Below are 23,775 nucleotides of genomic sequence, written 5' to 3' on the forward strand. Positions count from 1 at the left end.
AGGCATAAAAATGAATGAAATCATGTGTTTTGCAGCAGCATGGATGAATCTGGAGGCCATCATCCTAAGTGAAATAACTCAGAAACATGTTCTCACTTATATCACAAATATCTCACTCACAAATATCACATGTTCTCACTTATAAGTGGGAGCTAAACAGTTAATACACATGGACATAGAGAGTGGAATAATAGGCATTGGAGAACTCCAAAAGAAGGAAAAGTGGGAGCAGGGGTGAGAAATGAGAAATTACTTCATGGGTACAGTATACATATTCAAGTGATGGGTACACTAAAAGTGCAGAATTCACCACAATGCAATATATCCATGTAACAAAACTGCACTTGTACCCCCCAAATCTATACACATGAAAAAAAATTGTTCCTTTCCAATATCAGCATGTATTAGAATCAGGAATGGTTTATACATTAAACACTATAAGCACAGCCCTTATGGAATGTGAGCCTTTTGAAGATACATTATTTGGATAGAGCTTGAATTTTTTTTTTTAAAAAAGAACAATAATAGTAACATGCATTGAGTGTTTACTTTGTACCAGGTATGCTATGAGGGTTTTACATCCATTAACTCTCTTGATCCCCACACCACCCTTTGGGCAAGGTACTTAAATTATCATCATATGCAAAACTTGACATGTAGAGAGAATAAGGAACTCGCTCAAGGTTAGACTGATAATAAGTGACGGAGCTGATCTTCTAACCCCTGGAGTTGACTTTGCCACCACACTGCCTTCTCACACATGTTCAGAACTCTCAATCTTTTCTCAACAGAAGAACCCCAAAGTCTGTTTTGTGTCTTTTTCTATTCAAACACCCAGACAGAGGGAAGAGCAAAGGTCCTATGGCCCAGGGAAGTCTGGCTTGATGGAGAAAATGAAAGCTGATAGATGTGGATGAAAAAACAAACTGCGGTCAAACTAACATGAAAAAAGGGCCAACTAGGTAGGACCTTACCGGGTAGGTCCAGATTTTGATCTTTAACCTTGGAACAATGAGAAGCCCATGAGGCATTTAGCCAATTAACGGTTTATAAAGTTCACTTTGGAAGCAATTAGAAAATCAGCATGAAATGGAGGGGGCTGAGTGGATATCAGGAGAAGGCTGAGGCTAACTCAGCAGCCCAGGAAGAGAAGCAAGGTCTTAGATTAAGGGACTGGTGATGTGAGAGTGTTCAGTGAAGCTCAGGCAGCCTCCGCTTCTTGGGGCTGACCCTGCTTGGAAGCCAAGGAGGTCCGGTTGTTGGTGTGTAGATGCCCTCAATATGATACTTTTGCTTAAGAAATAATTTTTCCCATTCCAATTTTTTAATGCAAAATTCTACTGATTTTTAATGTAATTCATGGATATCATTCTAGAACATGATTTAAGCCATTTGAAGTTTATAAGAAAACATAGGAAAAAATTACATGTTAAATTTGGCATGATACGTAATGAGACTAACAGAATTAGTAATTTTTTCTCTTGGATCCCTCCTTCCATAGTTAATAATAATAATCATAATAAATCTGGCCTGGAACAATAATGAAAAAGTTAAACCAACACAAAATCATTAGGCTGTTTGCTTTTCTTGAGTTCCACCCAACATATGACTTCAGTATTTTCACAAGGATTAGGATCACTTTCTATATAAATCTCTATTGCATCATTAGCTTTCAGGTAGTTGAAAAATTTCAGTATAATTTGTAATAGTTTTGACTTGATAAATTTCCTATTTGCATTTAATTTGCTACATTTTATAATATCTGCAGAAAGACTCTAAAGTATATGTCCAATTTTTCTTAATAGAAAAAAATACTAGCTTGTCAAAGCTTTATTTGAAATGTACAGCTTGATTATAAATTACAAGAAATTAAAGTGTGGGTTTCACTGACTACTTAATACTGAGTAGCCTTAGCCCATGTTTTGACCTAATAATCTGCCAGATTTCTCCTCAAGTATACTTAACACTTGTTGAAAGAAAGTTTATTAAGATTTCCATTAGGAATGACTGCTACTGGGAAATATAATTTATAGGACTGTCTGTTACAGAAATAAAGCAAGCCAGATTGATCCAGGATTCAAAAGAGTATTGTTTGTATCCACAATAAACCAATAAAATCTTTCTAAATGTGTTTCTGTTTATACTTCCAAAGAGCATTGCTGGAAAGCTCAAAGATACGTGATTTTTCTGTACTACTATTTAAGAGCATGTTTATTAAAGTTGTTATTTTTCTAGGGCAACTTTTGTTTACAAATGATGTAAAAATAGTGCCCAAAGATACTGACTAACTGCAATGACTGTATTTGTGGTAGTAGGTGTGACCCAAGTGAGAGCCCAAGACAAAAAGCAAAACAAGAAAACAAAGACAGAGGATTATGGTCTCAAATCCTACACAAAACTTGGGAAGAACTGCTGTCCTTTCTTTGTCAGCAGAATTCTCTAAAAGCCACATGTTTATTTTTGGCCTATAGGGAGTTTAGTGCGGCTCATTGTTTGTACAAAGCTATTTCAGTGACTGATTATTATTAATTACCCTCCTGAAAGAACGTCAAGTCAGACAGGACTCAAGTTTCAGAACTAAGGTATGTAACAGCCCTTCCCGTTTGACTAGGATGATCCTGATGGTGGCTTTTTTGTGTACCCACGGGCAAGGCCAAAATGGCCTGACTGGGCCCAGGGCCTTCGTGGGCTGTCCTGTATGGCACCCCTAGTGAGGAGGAAACATTTTACTTACGTGTGACATTTACTCAGAAACCTGACTATAAGTATGGTGAATGTATGGTTTATGGCATAAACAGCAACATGTTTGTGAAGTAAAGATGGCGTTCTTCATAACAATGGCGGTTCAACCAGCATGAACTAGAACTGTCCTGGGAAAACTAGAAAACACAACTGAGGACCGAGAAACAAAAGGTCTCATGTATACCCCAAAATGGTATTAAAAAGAGACAAAATACTAAAGTATAAATAGCTTATTATAAGACACAATTTTGAGCATGCTTTCTTTACTTTAGATACAATTTGCAAAATCTTCCCTGTAGCTTTATGTCAGTCCAGGGCCGCTGATTATGAAATTGCAAATTTGAAGAATGAGGTGGCTTCCTTAATAAGTAGCAGTTGATAACCGCTAAGGAAGCATGAACAACAAAAGTGGCCAAATCAAAAGGCACAAGAAGTGTTCAAAGTAAACCAAAATTTAGGAGCTACAGTTTTATTTCATAAGTGAAAATTTAGTAAGCCTCAAAAACATCACATAGAGTGTCTGTCTGGGCTGCAAGACCCTGAAGTGGCAACTCCATTTCCAAACTTTGCATCAAAATATTCCAATCTGAATGGGCTTTTATTTTCTGAGAGGATGAGTTAAATCAATTTACATGTGTTGATTGAGTTCTTATCACTTGTTTAAGAAGTGTGTCACTTTCCAGGTATCCTATGTCTTCCCCTTGATTTCGAAAGTCACCAGGCAAGAGAATTAGATCCATTCAGTTTAAATTTATGATTTTCTATACTCAGAAAAACCCCATTTTAAAAAGTATAATATAGTTCCTTTTCCCCAAGATTTTTCTATATTTTCCACATATTTTTTAAAAATGTAATTGGTCATCTTATTAAAATTCATAAATAGAATAGATGAGTAAATAGAGAATTTAAAAATAGAATGAGTGAGCCGGCCGGGCCCAGTGGCTCACGCCTGTAATCCCAGCACTTTGGGAGGCCGAGGCGGGTGGATCACGAGGTCAGGAGATTGAGACCACGGTGAAACCCCGTCTCTACTAAAAATACAAAAAATTAGCCGGGCGTGGTGGCGGGCACCTGTAGTCCCAGCTACTTGGGAGGCTGAGGCAGGAGAATGGCGTGAACCCTGGAGGCGGAGCTTGCAGTGAACCCAGATCGCGCCGCTGCACTTCAGCCTGGGCGACAGAGCCAGACTCGGTCTCAAAAAAAAAAAAAAAAAAAAAAAAAATAGAATAAGTGAGTTCTAGATTCTGCTTTGTTGTTATTTCTTTCTGAGTCAACTGAGTAATTCCATTCCCTCTGGAAGAAGATGATCATGCCTCAGTTTGTAATGTGGGTGCATTCTGAAAGAGAGGGTCCGGGAATGAAGGTCCTGAGGATACAGAAAGAATTTCTTAGAGGCTGCTTAGCAAAAACTGACTTTACATGCAAATTAAGGTTCCATTTAATTTGAGACATTGTTGTCATTAAAAGTGGAGAGAGAGGCCAGGTACAGTGGCTCATGCCTGCAATCCCAGTGTTTTGGGGGATGAGACAAGAGGGTCATTTGAGCCCAGGAGTTCCAGACCAGCCTGGGGAAGACCCCACCTCTACCAAAAAAAAAAAAAAATACAAAAATTAGCGGGGTTTAGTGGGACATGTCTGTAGTCCCATCTACTTGCAAGGCTGAGTTGGGAGAATCACCTGAGCCCAGGAGGTCGAGGCTGCAGTGAGCCGAGATTGCGCCACTGTACTCCAGCCTGGGCAACAGAGCAAGACCCTGCCTCAAAACAAACAAAAACAAAAACAAAAAAACGACTTGAGAGAGAGATGGAGACCCAGGTTCCTACCAAAAGACACATAGATCATCTTAGTAGGATTCCAAAGCATGAGAATTACTGTTGACCAATTCCCTACCTCTATGGATTTTAGTGCAGGCAGCCAGTCTTTATGTTACACCTTCCGGTCACAGAAATAAAGCAGGAACTAGATATTGTTAAGAGAAAAAAGAGATAATGAGACAGTCATTGTAGAAGCAGAGCTCTTTTTGCATTCTGTTGCCTTTTGTTTGTGATGACATCTGAGGAAGAGAGCTAACAGGAAGTGCAGCCAATCTCCCTATAAACAGGGTGGGCTGAGGCATGGGCTAGAGGCATTGGCAGGGTGAGCTCCAGCATGAAGCCATCATGAGCCTGATAAATGATTTGAGAAATACGTACTTATCTATGACTAGTAAATCAAAGTTCCCTAAAACATCTCAAAGTTCAAAATTATTCTTTGCCTCAGGATCAGGGGAACCAGGATGTGGGCATGAAAAACTCCAAATCATAAAATTCAAGACATTTTGATAAAGTTTTAGACATTTAATAAGGATCTGTCTGAAGTGGTCTTACCTAGATAAAGCAAAACAAATTTGCAAGCATCTTTTGGAAATTACAGGAAGAGAAATGTTTTGGTGAACAAAAATGAAGCATTAATTTAATAAATATATCACTAATAATATTTAGTTTTTATTATTTTATTTCAGCTAATGTATATATTAAATCATACATATGGCTTTTCACAGGTTCAGGCACAAGCATTCCAACTGTCTCTCTAGTTTTTAATTTCTTTTTTCCTCTTTAAGTTTCCAAAAATGGGTTCTTCTTAACGTTATTTGGAGCTGAAGTATCTACAATGTGCAGAAGAGTTTCTTTGAATACACATGGCAGCATTATTGGTTTACTATGGTTTGCGGAAGTAATTGTTCTAAGTTGAGTTGTCATTTAGGAGAACACTCTCTTGCTCTTGCTTAGATATCTGGATACCAAAACCTGGATATAATTTATTTTATCCTTCTGTAAAGCTATCCTGTGATACTGTAGACTGGGATGATAATGCAAATATATACAATCATCGATGTTTATTATCTAAACATGATTACTCAAATGCATCTGTCAGGTCTATCTATTAGTTTGCTAGGCCTGCCATAACAAAGTACCACAGACCGGGTGGTTTAAACCACAGAATTTCATTTTCTCACGGTCTAGGAGGCTAGAAGCCTGAGATCAAGTGTTGGCAGGATTGGTTTCCCCTGAGGCCTCTCCCCTCAGCTAATAGATGGCTGTCTTCTCACAGTGTCCTCACATGGCTTTCCCTCTGTGTGTCTATGTCCTCATCTCCCCTACCTATAAGGATGCCCGTCCTGTTGGATTAGGGCCCACCCATATGAGCTCATTTAACTTTCATCACCTCTTTCAAGGCCCTGTCTCCAAATACAGTCACAATCTGAGGTCCTGGAGGTGAGGACTTCAACATAGGAGTTTGGGGGAACATACATATACATACATAACAGTCTATGTATAATACATGGAATGTTAACCTTACCATTGGTGTCAATTCAGGGTTATTTGCTAGACTGTATTCGAGCCTTTTAATAATTATTTATTCTTGTACTATTCTGCCAAATGCTTCTTTCTCAAACTAACTTTGAGGAAATAAAATAGAAATGAATGACTCTCCTTTGTGATGTGCTTTAGACGCAGAACTATTGCTGATGACAAATTCTGATGACACCTGAGGTTAAGATATTGGTGCCCTGTGCACATCGCTCATTAGCATCCATGACAGCCATTTAACACATAATCTATTCCTTACTTTGTGGGGCTCTGAGCTGTGCACACCAGGAAAACAGAGTCCTGGGGTCCCTGTTGCGTTATTTACCTCTGTTTTGAGCTGTTAAGTCCACCACAGCCATTTAGTAAATTATCAGTTTTCTTATTGGCCCTAAATCGTGCCTAATTAAAATTCTGACCTCCACAAACTAGTCCTCTTCCTAAAGAGACAGAACATAAACAGGAAAAATCAACTAATTGCTACAAAAACTGCTTTTGTGGCACTGTAATTGGACCTCAGTGAAACAAATGAACCCACTGGGGATTCCTTAATGAATGTTTAACTGCAAACGGTAGTCGGGCACTTAAGCAGCTAGGCTGATGGTCCCTAATGAAATCAAATAAAATCAAATAAAAGAATCTGGCATTTTTACTAACCAGATTTCTTGGCACTATGACATGAAGAATAATGTATTTCTTAGTACATAAATATGGGAAAAGTTATAAAGGGAGCAGTGAAAACTTAGTTGAAATTGCTCAGATTACACTTAGAAAAATACAACCCACAAGAAGAAAAAAAAAGGCAACACCTCAACAAAATGACATTCTGTTTAATTTCACACATGGATCTCTCTGTCATGAAAGTCACTTCAGGGAAATGCTGAACTGGAGTTGTACCATATTCTTATTGACACTTTTAATTTAAGGAAAGGTGCAATTTCTTTGCTTTATCTTTCTTTTTGAGAAATTTTCAGTCCAAAAGATAACATTTTTAAATTGACACACATTAACATCATGGTTGAAAATTTTGTCCATGTGCTTCCTCAGGGGAACGATGACTTTCTAATTTATTATTCCCTTGGCTAATACATGGTAAACAAATTCTAATAACAGTGAGATAGTGCTCTAACTTCAACTTTTCCTGATTATATCAATTTTAAAGAAAACCTTAATAAATTATTATTATCATTACAAATAATGTAATGATCTCTATCCACCGGTTGTGCTGAGCTGGTAATACTCACTAACATTTGCATGCTTCCCCGCTTCCTTGGCATCTTGTTAGTTGCAGCCACCTTTGCATTGAAGTGGGGGCCAGATGGTAACTTCTGGCAATGAGACGTAAGAAGAATTGATGTACATCACTTCTAAGACTGGCCCATACAACATCGCCAAGATCCTCCATGTGGTCTTTGTCTTTTGCTATTGCCCGCTGGACGGCTGCAGAAAGCTGTGGAGCTGTAGGGAATGGATAACTAGAGTAAAAATAGAAGATCTCAGATTGTGACCCTCCAATCCTGCAACAGCATTATCTGGAAACTTGTTAGAAATGCATATTTTCAGGTCCCAACCCATACCTACTGACTCAGAAACTCTGGGAGGACATCCAACTATCTGCTTTAACAAGGCCTCCAGGTGATTCTGATGCATACTAAAGTTCGAGTACCAATGCCCCGAAGATAATACAAATTAGAGAAACTGAGGTCCCTGAATAAATATACAGAGGAGAAACCAACCATTACATTCCCCCAAGTCATTGAATAGTGGTATGGGCAATAAGTAACCCTCAATTTTGTTAAAATGCTGAAAGTTTAAGGTTGACTATTGTAGAAATGAACATATTTTGCCTTCAGTAACACATCAATAAAGAAACCTTTCACCTAAAATAGCTCATTTTAATCCTGACAGGCTTTTATTTTCTTATTGGCCCTAAATCGTGCCTAATTAAAATTCTGACCTCCACAAACTAGTACTCTTCCTAAAGAGACAGAACATAAACAGGAAAAATCAACTAATTGCTACAAAAACTGCTTTTGTGGCACTGTAATTGGACCTCAGTGAAACAAGGTCCAATATTAAGTATTGGACCAACATTAAATATTAATATATTAAAAAAATAGTTTTTTAAAACTATTAAAACAGTTTTTTTTTAATATCCACATTTTGAAATTGAGGAAACTAATGTCCAAGTTAAACAATTTAACCAAAATTACGCTACCATTTTGTACCACAGCATGCAGTAAACACATACATAAACAATATACAGTCAGTGCCTGATGGAAGACCTCACTATGGAATTTTCAACATGACACTTCATATGTTATTTCTTTATAAATATTGTTGTTTCCCTTTCCCTTCATTAGGTATTTGGTAGTAATTAAACCACTTCTGTATAATTTTGAATGTTTCTGTATCATTTATTATTTATAGCCTTGCATCAATCAAAAATGTATTGGGCACTTACCATTTTCTGGGCATTATTCAGCAAATGACTCCTTTCTTATGGAAGCGTCTAGAATATGCCACCCCAAAATATGCCATTGTGGTATAAGAATTATCTTGAGCTGAAGGCAACTGAAAATTTTTATCATTCCCTTATCTAACTAAAAACAAGGAAATAGTTTTCTTTGTGAAGGCGCCCCACCTGTACCAGAAAGAGAAGAGCTGAGGCTAAGAGTTGACAATGAAGTGAGTCTACGGAAACAGACCTTATTAAAACACTCCATTATCTTCCATTAATTTTCCCCATATATTTTCTAGGAAATACACTTTCCCACAATTTATCATCCGTCAAAGCCCAAATCGGCTTTTCATTTTTTAAATGGTATATATGCTTTTGAGTCTTTGCATTTCTCTCCTTTTCTGCAAACTCTCATGCATGTAAATTTTGATGAAAATTGTATGCCCTTTCTCCTGTTAATCTCTCTTCTGTTAGTTTAATGTGTAGGCCCCCAGGGATAAACTCAAAGGGTAGAAAAGTTTTTCCTCCCCAACACTCACATCTATTTATACACTATACTCATTTCACTGAAGTTGAAAAGATTGTGCCAATAGCTTTATCTCAGTCATGACGTGGAGAATATTTTACAAATGCTTATATGATTTAGCATAGAGCAGGGTATTATGGAAAAAAATCAACAGGCCTATTTTTATGTATTTTGGTTTTGCCACAGACTAGCTGTGCAAACTTCAGGAAGTCCTTTTAGATCCTGGCTTTTAACATCTTTAAATGCAAAATTAGAGTTTATAGTAAATAAGTTCTAAAATCTCTTCCACCTGTATGATTCTAATCCAAACATCCTAAATTTGCAATTCTGGTAGGATAGGAAAGATTGTGTTCAGTGGTTCATTCTCCCGCCACCCCCTTTAGAAAAGAAAAACAAAACGATTTTGTTACCTTGGCATGCTGAGAGTGTTACAGAAGACCTTGATGGAATCCAGAATAGTAACCCCCAATATCTTTGCTATTGCAAATTATATTACATGGAGGTAGTAAATATTCCAATGATTTTAAGCATAATCAGCCAATCAGAATAACTAACTGCTTCAGTATTAGCGTGGTGACCACCTGGGGTTATGCACTATAGAATCCTGCAAACAAGGTCACTGAGAGTCATTGTAGTCATACCAAAGTCCTGGGTTCCAACTGCAATTCCCCCAGCTGAGGCAAGTTACATAAATGCTGAAGGCTCATTTACCTCATTTTCTAAATAAGCACATTAATAATATATACCTCACTTGCTTGTTGTCAGGCTCAAATGGGAGATATATATAATGGCTTTTTATTAACTGCAATATCCTATTTGCATGTGAGTCTCTACAGATATAGTTTAATTTTCCCTTCAAAATCTGAAATTTGGATAAAATAGAATACTAAGTCTGCAATAACAATAGACCCTCTGATTCAGATTAATTTTAGAGATCAGTTGGTTAGTAACCCAACTTACTGAGTTAATTTAAAGATACAGTTTATTATTTTCTGAGTGCATCTAGTACTTGAAATAACTGCTAGCAAATTGTGTTCAAGTAGATATCCTTTGGGACTACTTAAATAAATAGTTAAGACTCATTTGAAATTAACAGCTTTCATTTGCATACAAACAAAATAATGTGTTAAAGCCTTTAAAAACTGTTCAGTGGTATGAATTTAAATTCCGGGCCCTAAGGAACGGTATGTACACCTGTAATTCATTGAAGCCTAGCTGTTTACCTGTAGCTCGGAGCCACAAACTCATTTCTTTAAGCAGAGAACTGGTCCAGGAAAATATATCTTCTAGGCTTCTAGAACCCAATGCACTTTTTCTGTTTCTTAGTGTCTTGGTTCTCAATTTCATTCTTCTCCTCTGGTTTCCTATCATTTATAGAGGTATGGGTAGAGTTCAGGGTCTGTGGCAAAGAATTGCAGCAGGATTTTCAACACAGATGAGATGTTAACTGAAGCAGCAAACCCTCCTACCTGCATAGCCATCATCTCCTACTGCCCCACCCACTTACTTCTGATTGACTAAAAATTTCTGAGCCTTTAGACTCTATCTTATCCCACATCCTTGGGGATTGAAAATTACTTGCTGGCCGGGCACAGTGGCTCACTCCTGTAATCCCAGCACTTTGGGAGGCTGAGGCGAATGGATCACCTGAGGTCAGGAGTTCGAGACCAGCCTGTCAACATGGTGAAACCCCGTCTGTACTAAAAGTACAAAAAATTAGTTGGGCATGGTGGTGGGTGCCTGTAATTCCAGCTACTAGGGAGGCTGAGGCAGGAGAATCGCTTGAATGTGGGAAGCAGAGGTTGCAGTGAGTCAAGATAGTGCCACTGCACTCCAGCCTGGGTGACAGAGGGAGATTCCGTCTCAAAAAAAAAAAAAAAAAAAAAAAAAATTACTTGCTGAAATTAGGGTTTAAAATGACATCTGATCTCTAGCTCACAACTCTTCCATCCATTAAGTCCTGTATATTGAAGAGATATTACTGCTGTTAGTATTAGTATTGCAATGCTACTTAAGGCACTTTGATCTCAAGAGTGACAAGTACTGAGGAATTTTCGTTGAAGGGTACTAAAGTCTACAATAGGAATGACAGGTTACCATGGTAACAAGGACTCTTAATTTGATATAGGGAAATTCAAAAATATTACCTGGAGGGAGTAATGATAAGAGCTAAGCAAAGATCTGAAAGATATTTAAGAGTTATTTGGGTAAATGAAGTGGCAAACATGGTGTCTTCCAGCATACGTGGAATCTCAGTGGCAAGAGAAAGTATGTATACTGCAAGTATTTCAGTAAAGCTAGAGCTCCTCCCATCACTACATAAAAATCTTCACAAAGGCAGTGAAAGGCTTTCTTCCTTGGATGTGAGTTCTGCTTCTTGAGATGGAAAGAGTAGTGTTACCCACTCCACTCCATCTGAACTTATGTTCATAAAGAAATATTCCTAGAAAAAACTGTAAAAGTAGTTCTTTAGGGAGAAAAGACTATGTCCTGGGAGTCTCCATAATTAAAATGTTGACACAATGAAGATTTAGAGATAACAAGAACTCTGGTCTCAGCATACGCTTGTGATGAAAGGATATCTGAATCACACTAGTGATTCAGGGTCCCAGGTGTCCCAACAATGGCTTCAAATGATGCCAGGCTAATCTGCAAAGTTGAGTTAAAACCTGATATTTTAGTTTGAATTATTCACATGAATTACACTCTGGCTAAAGATCTGTGAAAGAGATTCCGTCAACCATCATGGACCTACCGTAAAATCAAAGTATATATGCTTCCTATGTGATGAGTAAGGTATTCAGATAGGTTTGGTTTTTTACCTCATGCAAAGATATGTTTTAGAAAGAATAAAACTTAGAATATGGAAAATTATAAAAATGAAATCAGCATTCTAAAGCCTCAAAGAAAAAACAAATTTGAAAAAGCTTTACTGAATCAAACAGATAACACTTTTGAAGGCATTTTCAACTGGATACAAAAAGTCACAATATGAAAACAAAAAATAAAGCAGCAGATAGTGCTAAAGACAGAAAAGCATAAGGTAAAAAGACAAGCAGACGAGAAGCAAAAACGAGGTCATAGGAGAAGGGTTCTGAATGAACAACCAAGAGAAAACCAAAATTACAATACTAGAATTAAAATATGCATTGAAGATAGCAAAGAAAAGAAATAACTACAAAAAAGCAAAAATTTAGACACAAACCTGTGACAATCTTTCTAATGAAGAAAATAAAGGACAAATAGTAAAGTGATGAGATCAAAATGACAGCTTTACAAGTCACAAACTAATCTTAAAACAGTAAATAAAAAAGATCATCAGGGCTAAAAAAAAAACCTGCAGATGCAAATAGAAAGAATCATAGTATTTATTCACATACATATGAAAGAAATTATGTCAGGTAAATGTTGAATTATAAGACTGAAGAACAAATCCTTAAGTTCTTAAGGTAGAAAAAAACAAAAACAAAACAAACAAACACAAAACTGCTACCATATACAAAGTACAAAACATCAAACCGGAATAACAATGCTTCTATACAACTCTGAGAGCTAAAATATAATAAAGCATTATTTCAGAATTTCGAGGAAAGAGACAATATTCTAATAACTTTAAATCCAGAAATAATGTATTTTCTTTTTAAAGACATAGTAAAGAAATAGTTCAACATACAGGAGGCCAGAAAATATGTTACATGTACATACATGTCATTTTGAATATATATATATATATATATATGACTTGAAGATGGATATATACATATATGACTTGAAGATGGATACCTGTGAATTGAGAGAAATACAATTTAAGTGCTCAGACATTCTAGGGTTTTTTTTTGATTTTTGTTTTATTGAGACAGAGTTTGCTCTTGTTGCCCAGGCTGGAGTGCAATGGTACAATCTCGGCTCCCTGCAACCTCTGCCTCGCGGGTTCAAACGATTCTCCTGCCTCAGCCTTCCTAGTAGCTGGGATTATAGGTATGCATCACCATGCCCGGCTAATTTTGTATTTTTGGTACAGATGGTGTTTCACCATGTTGGCCAGGCTGGTCTCGAACTCCTGACCTCAGGTGATCTGCCCGCCTCGACCTCCCAAAGTGCTGGGATTACAAGTGTGAGCCACCACTCCTGGCCTCTATCTTCTTTAGTAATTAGTTCAATGCCATGTGTTAGGCAACAAAATACAAAAATGTTTATGAATAGATACAAAAATATTTTTTAATTTAATAGAAAATACTCATTTTTTAAAGGCAATATATGGATGGAAATAAAATCTCTGTAAATTCTAAGATTAAAACATATGAACAATCATATCTGACAGCAATTCATCAAAATTATAATTACTATTATCTACTTTTAAGTAATCAACATAAAAATACTGTCTATGAAAACTAATACACCGGGTGCAGTGGCTCACGCCTGTAATCCCAGCACTTTGAGAGGCCAAGGCGGGTGAATCACCTGAGGTCAGGAGTTCGAGACCAGTCTGGCCAACATGGTGAAACCAAGTCTCTGCTAAAAATACAAAAATTAGCCTAGCATGGTGGTGCGTGCCTGTAATCCCAGCTACTGGGGAGGCTGAGTCATGAGAATGGCTTGAACCCAGGAGGCAGAGGTTGCAGTGAGCTGAGATCTCGCCACTGCACTCCAACTTGGGTGACTGAGCAAGACACCGTCTCAAAAACAAACAAACAAAACCAAAAACACTGATGGTGTGATGCCACAATTACACTTAGAAAAAATTCACTGATTTATTTGTAAAATTTAATGGGAAAGTGGAAATCCTCATTGGAACAGATCCCTGAAAAATATATTTAATTAAATGTACACTAAAATATCTCAATAGATAAAAATCAATCAATAAATAAATTCACAGATGCTTATATCATAACCTCTTCAAAATACTTAGTATGCTTTATTCAATATTCTAGAGAATTATAAGAAACTGAATGCTACCTAATTCAGAATTCATAGGCACCTAAGCCTAAGACTGACTAACAAAAGGCCAAAGTTCAAGACTGATTATAAAAGTAAATATTCTAATAACATAACACCAAATCAGTATATAGTACTCACAAAATATAATCAACTAAGAACAAAAAAGTGTAGAATATTTATTAAATGTAACTTACATTAATGTAAAGGTAAAATAGAAGTATTTTTATAATTACGGAAATTTAGAAAATGTATCACTCACAGTTCTTTGAAACTTTACTGGAATTTATTCTCAGGAAGAAGAAAATGAGTTTAGGAGGAAATGAGATAGAAGATGCAAGGTGAATAGTAATTAGTACAACTTATTTTTAAAAACTGTCTAATGGCTGGAATTAAAAAATGACAATCTATAAGTAAAATTTCTGATTTGGAACAGAAATAGATATAAAAAAAAAGAAGAGGATTCTGTTGGCACCTTGATTTTTGACCCAGGGATACTGATTTTGGACTTCTGGACTCTAGAACTGCAACAGAATAAACCGTTATTGAGCATAAATTGTAAAAAGCCACTAAGTCTGTGGTGATTTGTTACAGCAGCCGCAGGAAACGAGTACAGAAATCAGTGAATACTTTTTTTTTCCTTATAAAAAGAAAAATCCATCCCCAAACTACATCAATACAATGAATCAAACAACATAGCCTCAAAAATATGTAAAGTAAAAATTAACAAAAACACAAGGGAAAATTGATAAGGACAAAATCAAAATAAGAAAATAGCAAGGTTTCTCTCTCAGAAAGTTCAGTTAACTTAAGAAAGTTACAATTTAAGATTTAATTCCCATGATGAAAAAGCCTACTCTATTAGAGGTACATAGAACCTTATACCCAGAAAAAAATCATTCGTTTCAATTACATATGGAACCATTTATAAAAATTGTCATGTAACTGACCACAAAGGAAGTCCAAACCAGATTTATATTTTGCAAATCACATTTCTAGTCACAATACAATTAAATCAGAAATTAACTTTGAAAGGTAATTGAAATACAACCTTACAATTAAAAAGTGTAAACACGATTCCAAATAATTTATGGGATAATTTTTCAAATGCAAACATTATGGAATATTTAAGATTTAATGCCAACCAAAGCATATATATTAAAACTTGTAAAAGATAAGCATAAAATCACCTATATGGGAATTTGTACTCTTAATACATTTAATTAAATGAAAGAAAGATTTAAAATGATTACTCTAGCATCTATATCAAGACACTATAAAAAAGAACAAAATGAAAAAATTAATTCAAATAAAATCGAAAGTAAGTACCATTAAGGTAAAATAAAGAACGTTAAATGTATATAAAAACAATATCAACAATACAAAAGACAGGTTTTTGAAAATACCTGAAATAGACAGAATGGAAACACTGATTGAGAAAAAATAACAAATAAATATATTACAGATGAAAATAGAATTAACTCTAATTGCAGTAAAGAGTAAAAGTGTATGTAATTCCATGAAAAGCTGTATGCCAATATATTTGAATTCAAAAATGAAATGACAATTTTCTAGAAAATAAAATTTTCTGCAATGATAAAGGAAGAAGAAATACTGGAAATACAAATATATATTTAAAGAATACAAATGTCTATCAAAAATACTTCACCCACAATTTTCTAAAAGTGACCAAGTGGATTTTATAGGGAAATTTTACAAAATTTTCAAGGAATAAACAATCGCTAACACAGACTATGTGAGAATAAAGGCTAAATAAGTCAGTCTACATGGTCCATTACATGAAGTCATTGGAAATATTAAAAGAAATTCAAACAATAAAATGTGACCTAGGAGAAATTATACTAGGAAGTCTACGATGGTTCAACTTATCACTGCAGTGATGGCTAAAAAGACAACAAACCAAGGGTAATAGTTTCAACAGACACAGAAAGTAAATATCGCATAAACTGCAACATCTACTCATAAAAATGGCCTTCCGATACAGTTACATGAAGAGAGACCTTTCATAATCTGAGTTAAATTTACCTAGTAAACATCCATACATATATTGTACTTCATGGCAGAGTTTGAGAAATACTTTCTATTTATCATTGTACTGAAGATCTTAGTCAGTGAAACCAAAGAAGAGAAAAAAATTGGAAAGAAAAATTAAAAATTGTTGTTTTAGGGCAGATATGATTTTGACATAGGAAATCCAAGAGAATCAATGATAAATACTGAATTAATAAGAGTTCATCAAGATTGTTAGGTATAAGATCAACCTAAAAATCATTAGCATTAAGAAAATGTAATAAACAGAATTATTTTTGTTATCTCATTGGGTTTTGGGTGCCAGTGTACTAGGCCAAACAGTGGCCTTCCCTGAGACTCTTCACTGAGAAATCTCTTGTATTGCAACCCTTTCAGTTTGAAAAAGGGTTAAAAAACTCTGAAACAGCACAGCTAAGTATATTTAATTAAAAAAAATAACTGACTTCTGAAATTCTACTTGATTCTTAAGAATTATTTTCGAAAAGATAATGGTAAATACCAGCTCAACAAACTTCATTGCATATCTCTTCCTAGAGTGCAATAATTATTTGTGACTACAATGCCTATTTCACATAGATGGAGAAAAGTTTACATTGTGGTCAGCTAAATACCATGATTGCCTTCAGAACAGTAAATAGTAGTTCATTTTTGGATGTCTCTTTGATCTAGTTTAGAGGCTGAACTGATGACTCATGCATATCTGGCCTTTCTTCTTTAGCAATGGTCCTTCAAATATCTCTGACTTTCTGTGATTGAAATCATCAAAGGCAATTGTTTATGGTATTTTAAAGTGCAGAGATATCAATGGATGGATAAGCAAGTGTATTTAATGTGGTGTGTTCTCAAGATGGCTTAGTAATGACTTTTGAAGATACTTTCCTGATGTGTAACTTTGTGATCATCAAACAACATTTAAACAGTGGAAATGCTGACATGACTATTTGCTATCTCAATAAGCAGATCTTACTCTATAATTATCAAGTGCTCTTTTTCTTGTCATATTAATGTAAAAGATAAATTTAAGGTTAGTCCTAGTAGCTTTCATTTATATGTACACAGTGTTTATAAAATCTTTGTGATATGTGCATGGTGTTTATAAAATCTTTGTGATGGATTTCACGAATGATAGGCAAAAACCTCTAAATGAAACTTACTGGCACATCAGTTACAATATTAATAATTTTCTATCAATAATGTTAAATAATAAAACTCATTTAAGTGGATATTTTCTTTCTTTGCTAGCAACAGTATCAGAGAAAAGTATCAAGGAAGGACTAGAACCTTGTCTGTCACTTGCTGTACCCCACCTATCTTCAAATCCAGTTGACTCCAAGTGAACTCTGCAAAATTCCCAGGTTCCTAAATGGGAAATAACTATTATTAATAATTAATGATTATAATTTTAACTTCTAGATATTTATTTATTTATTTTTTGAGACAGATTTTTGCTCTTGTTGCCCAGGCTGGAGTGCGATGGCGCGATCTCTACTCACTGCAACCTCCATCTCCTGGGTTCAAGCAATTCTCCCTCAGCCTCCCGAGTAGCTAGGACTACAGGTATGTGCCACCACGCCTGGCTAATTTTTGTATTTTTAGTAGAGACGGGGTTTCGCCATGTTGGCCAGGCTGGTCTTGAACTCCTGACCTCAGGTGATCCACCTGCTTCAGCCTCCCAAAGTGCTGGGATTACAGGCATGAGCTACCACGTCCGGTCTAACTTCTAGATATTTATATAGATAGATCAAGATACTCATGCATTTCACAGAATTTTTAAAAATTATGTCCATTGTACTATTTTGCATACTTCAATGCATGAAATATATATATGAAAATAAAAACTACATATATGATTCTGCTGTATTCTTTTTCTATTATATTGGAATATGTATATATGCTCTAATATATAATATATATTACATATATATAATCAGAATCTGATATATATATCAAAATCAAATCCAGTATAGATTATATACATAATCTATACCAACAAGCCACTAGAAATTTGGATGTATAAAACAACAGACACATTTAACACCTTGGGAGTCCAGGTGAGGTTTATTGAAGTCCTCTGCCAGGCTGCAATCAAAGTGTGGGCCTGAGCCGAGTTCTCAACTGGAGGCTTCACTGGGGAAAGCTGTGCTTCCAAACTCACTCAAGTGTTGCCAGAATTCAATTCCTTGTGACTGTAAGTTTGGGAACTCTAGCTCTTGTTGGGTGGAAGCTGGAAGCTGTCCTCAGCACCTAGTCGTAGGCCTGGGCTTCCTGCCACACGGGCCTCCTGACATGGTCACTTATTATACTTCTTCAAAGCCAGCAAGGGAGACAGTGTCTAGAGGCAGTCATCTAGCAAGATGGAGACTTACAACATGAGGCACATACAAGAGTGACCTCCCATCGTCTTTGAGGCATTCTATTTCTTGTAAGTATATCATAGATCCTGACGCTATTCAAGGTGTGGGGGGATACAGAAAACATAGATACCAAGAGGTAGGGATCATGCGGCCCTCATTAGAATGGGTCCATCACATCTGTTGAACTCAGTACTTGCTTCCATTTAAACCTGGTTGTCTTGGGATTAATTAGCAACAAGTCCAGTACTTCACATCCTATTGAGTAAAGCATGTCACATGTTAATCTCAAAGAGATAGGAACATGTATTCTCAAACAATGAATTAGAAAGTCATACATCCATGAGAATCCTACTACACAAAAGAAACAAATCACTGGGGAAAACAAGCTAGTCTATTGTAATTCACATGTATGTATGTAATGCATAAGGAAGTTTGATAATGCTTTTTTGGTAAGTAAATCATTGATATGGAAATAATTTTCAAATTATTAATTGTACATGGAATCTTTATTTTCAAAAACTAATGTATTTAAAGGTTTTGAAAAACTTTATCTTAATAACTATCTTTGAATTCATTGAAATACAGTGAGGTGCATCGTGAACAGATTTTTTTTTCAACTTAGGATGCAGTTAAATAAGTTATCTATAGCCTTCGTTGAGCTGTACCCTTTCACCCGTATTTCTTCTTCTTTTTTTTTTTTTTTTGAGACAGAGCCTCCCTCTGGAGCGAAGTGGCATAATCTCGGCTCACTGCAACCTCTGCCTCCCAGGTTCAAGCGATTCTCATGTCTCGGCCTCTTGAGTAACTGGGATTACAGGCAAGTGCCACCACACCCAGCTAATTTTTTGTATTTTTAGTAGAGATGGGGTTTCACCATGTTGGCCAGGCTGGTCTTGAACTCCTGAGCTCAGGCAGTCCACCCACCTCGGCCTCCCAAACTGCTAGGATTACAGGCATGAGCCACTGTGCCTGGCCACATTTCTTTTTATTTTATTTTATTTTATTTTTTTATTATACTTTAAGTTTTAGGGTACATGTGCACATTGTGCAGGTTAGTTACATATGTATACATGTGCCATGCTGGTGCACTGCACCCACTAACTCGTCATCTAGCATTAGGTATATCTCCCAATGCTATCCCTCCCCACTCCCCCCACCCCACCACAGTCCCCAGAGTGTGATATTCCTCTTCCTGTGTCCATGTGATCTCATTGTTCAATTCCCACCTATGAGTGAGAATATGCAGTGTTTGGTTTTTTGTTCTTGCGATAGTTTACTGAGAATGATGATTTCCAATTTCATCCATGTCCCTACAAAGGACATGAAACTCATCATTTTTTATGGCTGCATAGTATTCCATGGTGTATATGTGCCACATTTTCTTAATCCAGTCTATCATTGTTGGACATTTGGGTTGGTTCCAAGTCTTTGCTATTGTGAATAATGCCGCAATAAACATATGTGTGCATGTGTCTTTATAGCAGCATGATTTATAGTCATTTGGGTATATACCCAGTAATGGGATGGCTGGGTCAAATGGTATTTCTAGTTCTAGATCCCTGAGGAATCGCCACACTGACTTCCACAATGGTTGAACTAGTTTACAGTCCCACCAACAGTGTAAAAGTGTTCCTATTTCTCCACATCCTCTCCAGCACCTGTTGTTTCCTGACTTTTTAATGATTGCCATTCTAATTGGTGTGAGATGGTATCTCATAGTGGTTTTGATTTGCATTTCTCTGATGGCCAGTGATGATGAGCGTTTTTTCATGTGTTTTTTGGCTGCATAAATGTCTTCTTTTGAGAAGTGTCTGTTCATGACAAACCTGAGAAAAACAAGCAATGGGGAAAGGATTCCCTATTTAATAAATGGTGCTGGGAAAACTGGCTAGCCATATGTAGGAAGCTGAAACTGGATCCCTCCCTTACACCTTATACAAAAATCAATTCAAGATGGATTAAAGATTTAAACGTTAGACCTAAAACCATAAAAACCCTAGAAGAAAACCTAGGCATTACCATTCAGGACATAGGCATGGGCAAGGACTTCATGTCTAAAACACCAAAAGCAATGGCAACAAAAGACAAAATTGACAAATGGGATCTAATTAAACTAAAGAGCTTCTGCACAGCAAAAGAAACTACCATCAGAGTGAACAGGCAACCTACAAAATGGGAGAAAATTTTCGCAACCTACTCATCTGACAAAGGGCTAATATCCAGAATCTACAATGAACTCAAACAAATTTATAAGAAAACAACAAACAACCCCACATTTCTTGATATGTATAAAAGTAAATCATCCTTAAAGTATGCTGAATACTGACATTTTGGTCAATGATGGACCATATATATGACAGTTGTCCCATGAGATTATAATGGGGCTGAAAAATTCTTATGGCCTAGTGACAGCTCCATGATCTTGACCTAAGCTAAAGGGTGTTTTTGTGTCTTGGTTTAAAAAACAATTAAAAGTAAAACACGGTCAGGCATGGTGGCTCATGCCTGTAATCCCAGCATCGTGGGAGGCCAAGGTGGGCCAATCACGAGGTTAGGAGATGGAGACCATCCTAGCTAACAGGAAAAATTAGCCAGATGTGGTAGCATGCACCTGTAGTCCCAGCTACTCAAGAGGCTGAGGCAGGAGAATCGCTTGAACCTTGGAGGCAGAGGTTGCAGTGAGCCAAGATCGCGCCACTGCACTCCAGCCTGGGCTACAGAGCAAGACCCTGTCTCAAAAAAAAAAAAGTTGAAAACTTAAAAAAATTAAAGTTTATGGACAAGAAAAGTTATATGTTTAATTTATTATTGAAGAAAGAAAAATATTTTAAAAATAAATTTACTGTAGCTTAAATACATAGTATTTATGAAGTCTACAGTAGTGTTCAGTAATGTCCTTTGACCTTCATATTCACTTACTACTCATTCACTCACTCACTCACTCACTCAATGCTACTTCCAGTCCTGCAAGCTCCATTCATGTGAAGTGTCCTATAGAGGTGTATCATTATAAAATATTTTATGCTATATTTTTACTGTACTTTTTTATATTTAGATGTGTTTAAATACACAAATATTTAATTGTATTGCAACTACCTACAGTAATCAGTACAATAACATGCTGTACAGGTTTGTAGCCTCGGAGCAATAGGCTCTACCATATAATCTAGGTGTGTAGTAAGCTACACCATCTAGGTTTGTGTAAGTACATTCTGTGATGTTCACACAATGATTAAATTGTTAATGATGCATTTCTTAGAATATATCCTCATCATAAAGTGACACATGACGGTATTATGTTTAAAAACTTGACCTAAACTTGTTTAACTACATTAGAATATTTCAAAATGATACATATAAGTGAATAATTTACTATGTGATCAATTTTATATAAACTATGTAATGAAACATTATAGACTATGGAATGACTATAACAAAATATTGTACCTAGAACAATATTTTGGGTTGCCTGTTTCATGTGCATGTTTTCAATCACTTTCTTGGTGCACAGCAACCCTTTTCCCCTTTGGTAACTTCTCTGTGACCACTCAGTGAAGGTAGCCGTAGGGCCTAACTGATGAGGCTTGGGCTATAGGCTTCAATAAAATAACATCTAGTTTTTAAGAACTAGCCTGCATAGAAAAATACGTATTTTTCCTATTTTAAAAATAGACATATTTTAAATATTTTTTAAAATAGAATATTTTAAAAGATATCCAAATACCAAATATATTAATGCAGTTAGGTTTTACATGAGAGATGAGACCCACATAGCAGGCTTTTTTATTTTCAAAAAGTCACAAGTAAATAATCTGTCTAATCCTCTATTAATTCTAGATATTAATAGTTCAATATAATCTATTAATTCCAATATTACTTTGAATACATCTTTCAATGTCATCCTTTAGCTTTACCACAGATTCAGACATCTTTTGGAATTATTTCTGGCTATGGGACATCAGGCCAAATAGGTTTGTATGTAACTCCACAAGAGATAATATACTTAAAAAACTCTGGGTCTGAGAGCTAATGAAAGGAATGATACTAAATGACTGCCTAGAGTTATCAGTTTGAGTATCAATGCTCTCTGTTCCTTTGATCTCTTCTTTTCCATGTTTTATTCTTAACTGACCTAGAAAGGAAAAAAGAGAAAAAAATAAAAGGTGTGTCTATTTGGGTTAGAGGATTGGTGAGTCATCTCTATGGGTTCAGCCAGCGTAACTGCCTTTTAAACAAATTTTTTTAAGAGTTATGGGGGTCGGCCAGGCGCGGTGGCTCACGCCTGTAATCCCAGCACTTTGGGAGGCCAAGGCGGGTGGATCACGAGGTCAGGAGATCGGTGCCATTCTGGCTAACACGGTGAAACCCCGTCTCTGCTAAAAATACAAATAGCTGGGCGTGGTGGCGGGCGCCTGTGGTCCCAGCAACTCGGGAGGCTGAGGCAGGAGAATGGCGTCAACCCGGGAGGCGGAGCTTGCAGTGAGCCGAAATCGCGCCACTGCACTCCAGCCTGGGCGATAGCGCGAGACTCCGTCTCAAAGAAAAAAAAACAAAAAAAAAAGAGAGAGAGAGAGAGTGAGAGAGGGGAGTCAGCCCCGTCACCCAGGCTGGATGAGGTGTAGTGACGTGAGCATAACTCACAGCAACCTCAAAAACTCCAGGGTTCAAGAGATCCTCCTGCCTCAGCCTTCCAAGTAGCTGGGATTACAGGTACAAACCGCCGCGCCTGGCTTTTATAAACTATTTTATAAACAAATGTTCTTCTCTAGTTCTAGACGATTTCTTAGTTAATTCACTCTTTTAAAAAAAATATACACTTGTTTTTGTTCTATGCTTAAAATGGTTGCGTTAAAACATCTTAAAAATAGGTAAAAAATTATCCCAAATCCCACCTTCAGTGATAACTACTATTTCCCCTGTAACAATAGTAAAGAGCCTTTATTTTTGTTTGCCTGATATTCATTCGCTCTTTTGCTAAGGATGGTGTAGGTTTTTTGTTCTTTGTCTTTCTATACATTGGCGAAATTAATCCAATAGATAGCTGCACTAGTTTTTCCGTTTTATTGTCCATACACCTGCACCATTCTTTATGTTACAATTGTTATATGTAATACATCTACTTATAAACTCCACAAGACAATGTAGAGTTTATATTATACAAGGCAATATATTTTAGTTTCAAGCAATGGTTTACAATATAATTAAGAAAAATCACCTCCCCAAACTAAAGATAGCCTTTTACATTTACCATTTCTGATTGTTTTTCTCCCTGATGATCAGTTTCCATTTAATATAATTTTCATTCAGCTGGAAGAATATCTTTCACACTTCTTGATCTGTAAGTCTACTGACAATAAA

General features: G+C 36.3%; 1 long non-coding RNA gene across 6 annotated transcripts in view; it reads left to right on the forward strand.

Moving 5' to 3' along the window:
• Positions 1-17,577: 17,577 nt before the first annotated feature.
• Positions 17,578-23,775, forward strand: part of LOC105374914 (uncharacterized) — a 91,755-nt gene continuing 85,557 nt past the window's right edge. For 3 of the 6 annotated variants that reach the window (XR_001743951.1, XR_001743954.1, XR_001743955.1), the window contains exon 1: positions 18,032-18,485. This is a non-coding gene — a long non-coding RNA (uncharacterized LOC105374914). Of the gene's footprint in view, positions 17,621-18,031; positions 18,486-22,857; positions 23,128-23,775 lie in introns of those variants that run through there. The other 3 variants (XR_001743953.1, XR_001743952.1, XR_926450.3) reach the window with 3 other exon arrangements.

This window comes from Homo sapiens, chromosome 6, assembly GCF_000001405.40.
Source record: "Homo sapiens chromosome 6, GRCh38.p14 Primary Assembly".
In the NCBI taxonomy this organism is placed as follows: Eukaryota; Metazoa; Chordata; class Mammalia; order Primates; family Hominidae; genus Homo; species Homo sapiens.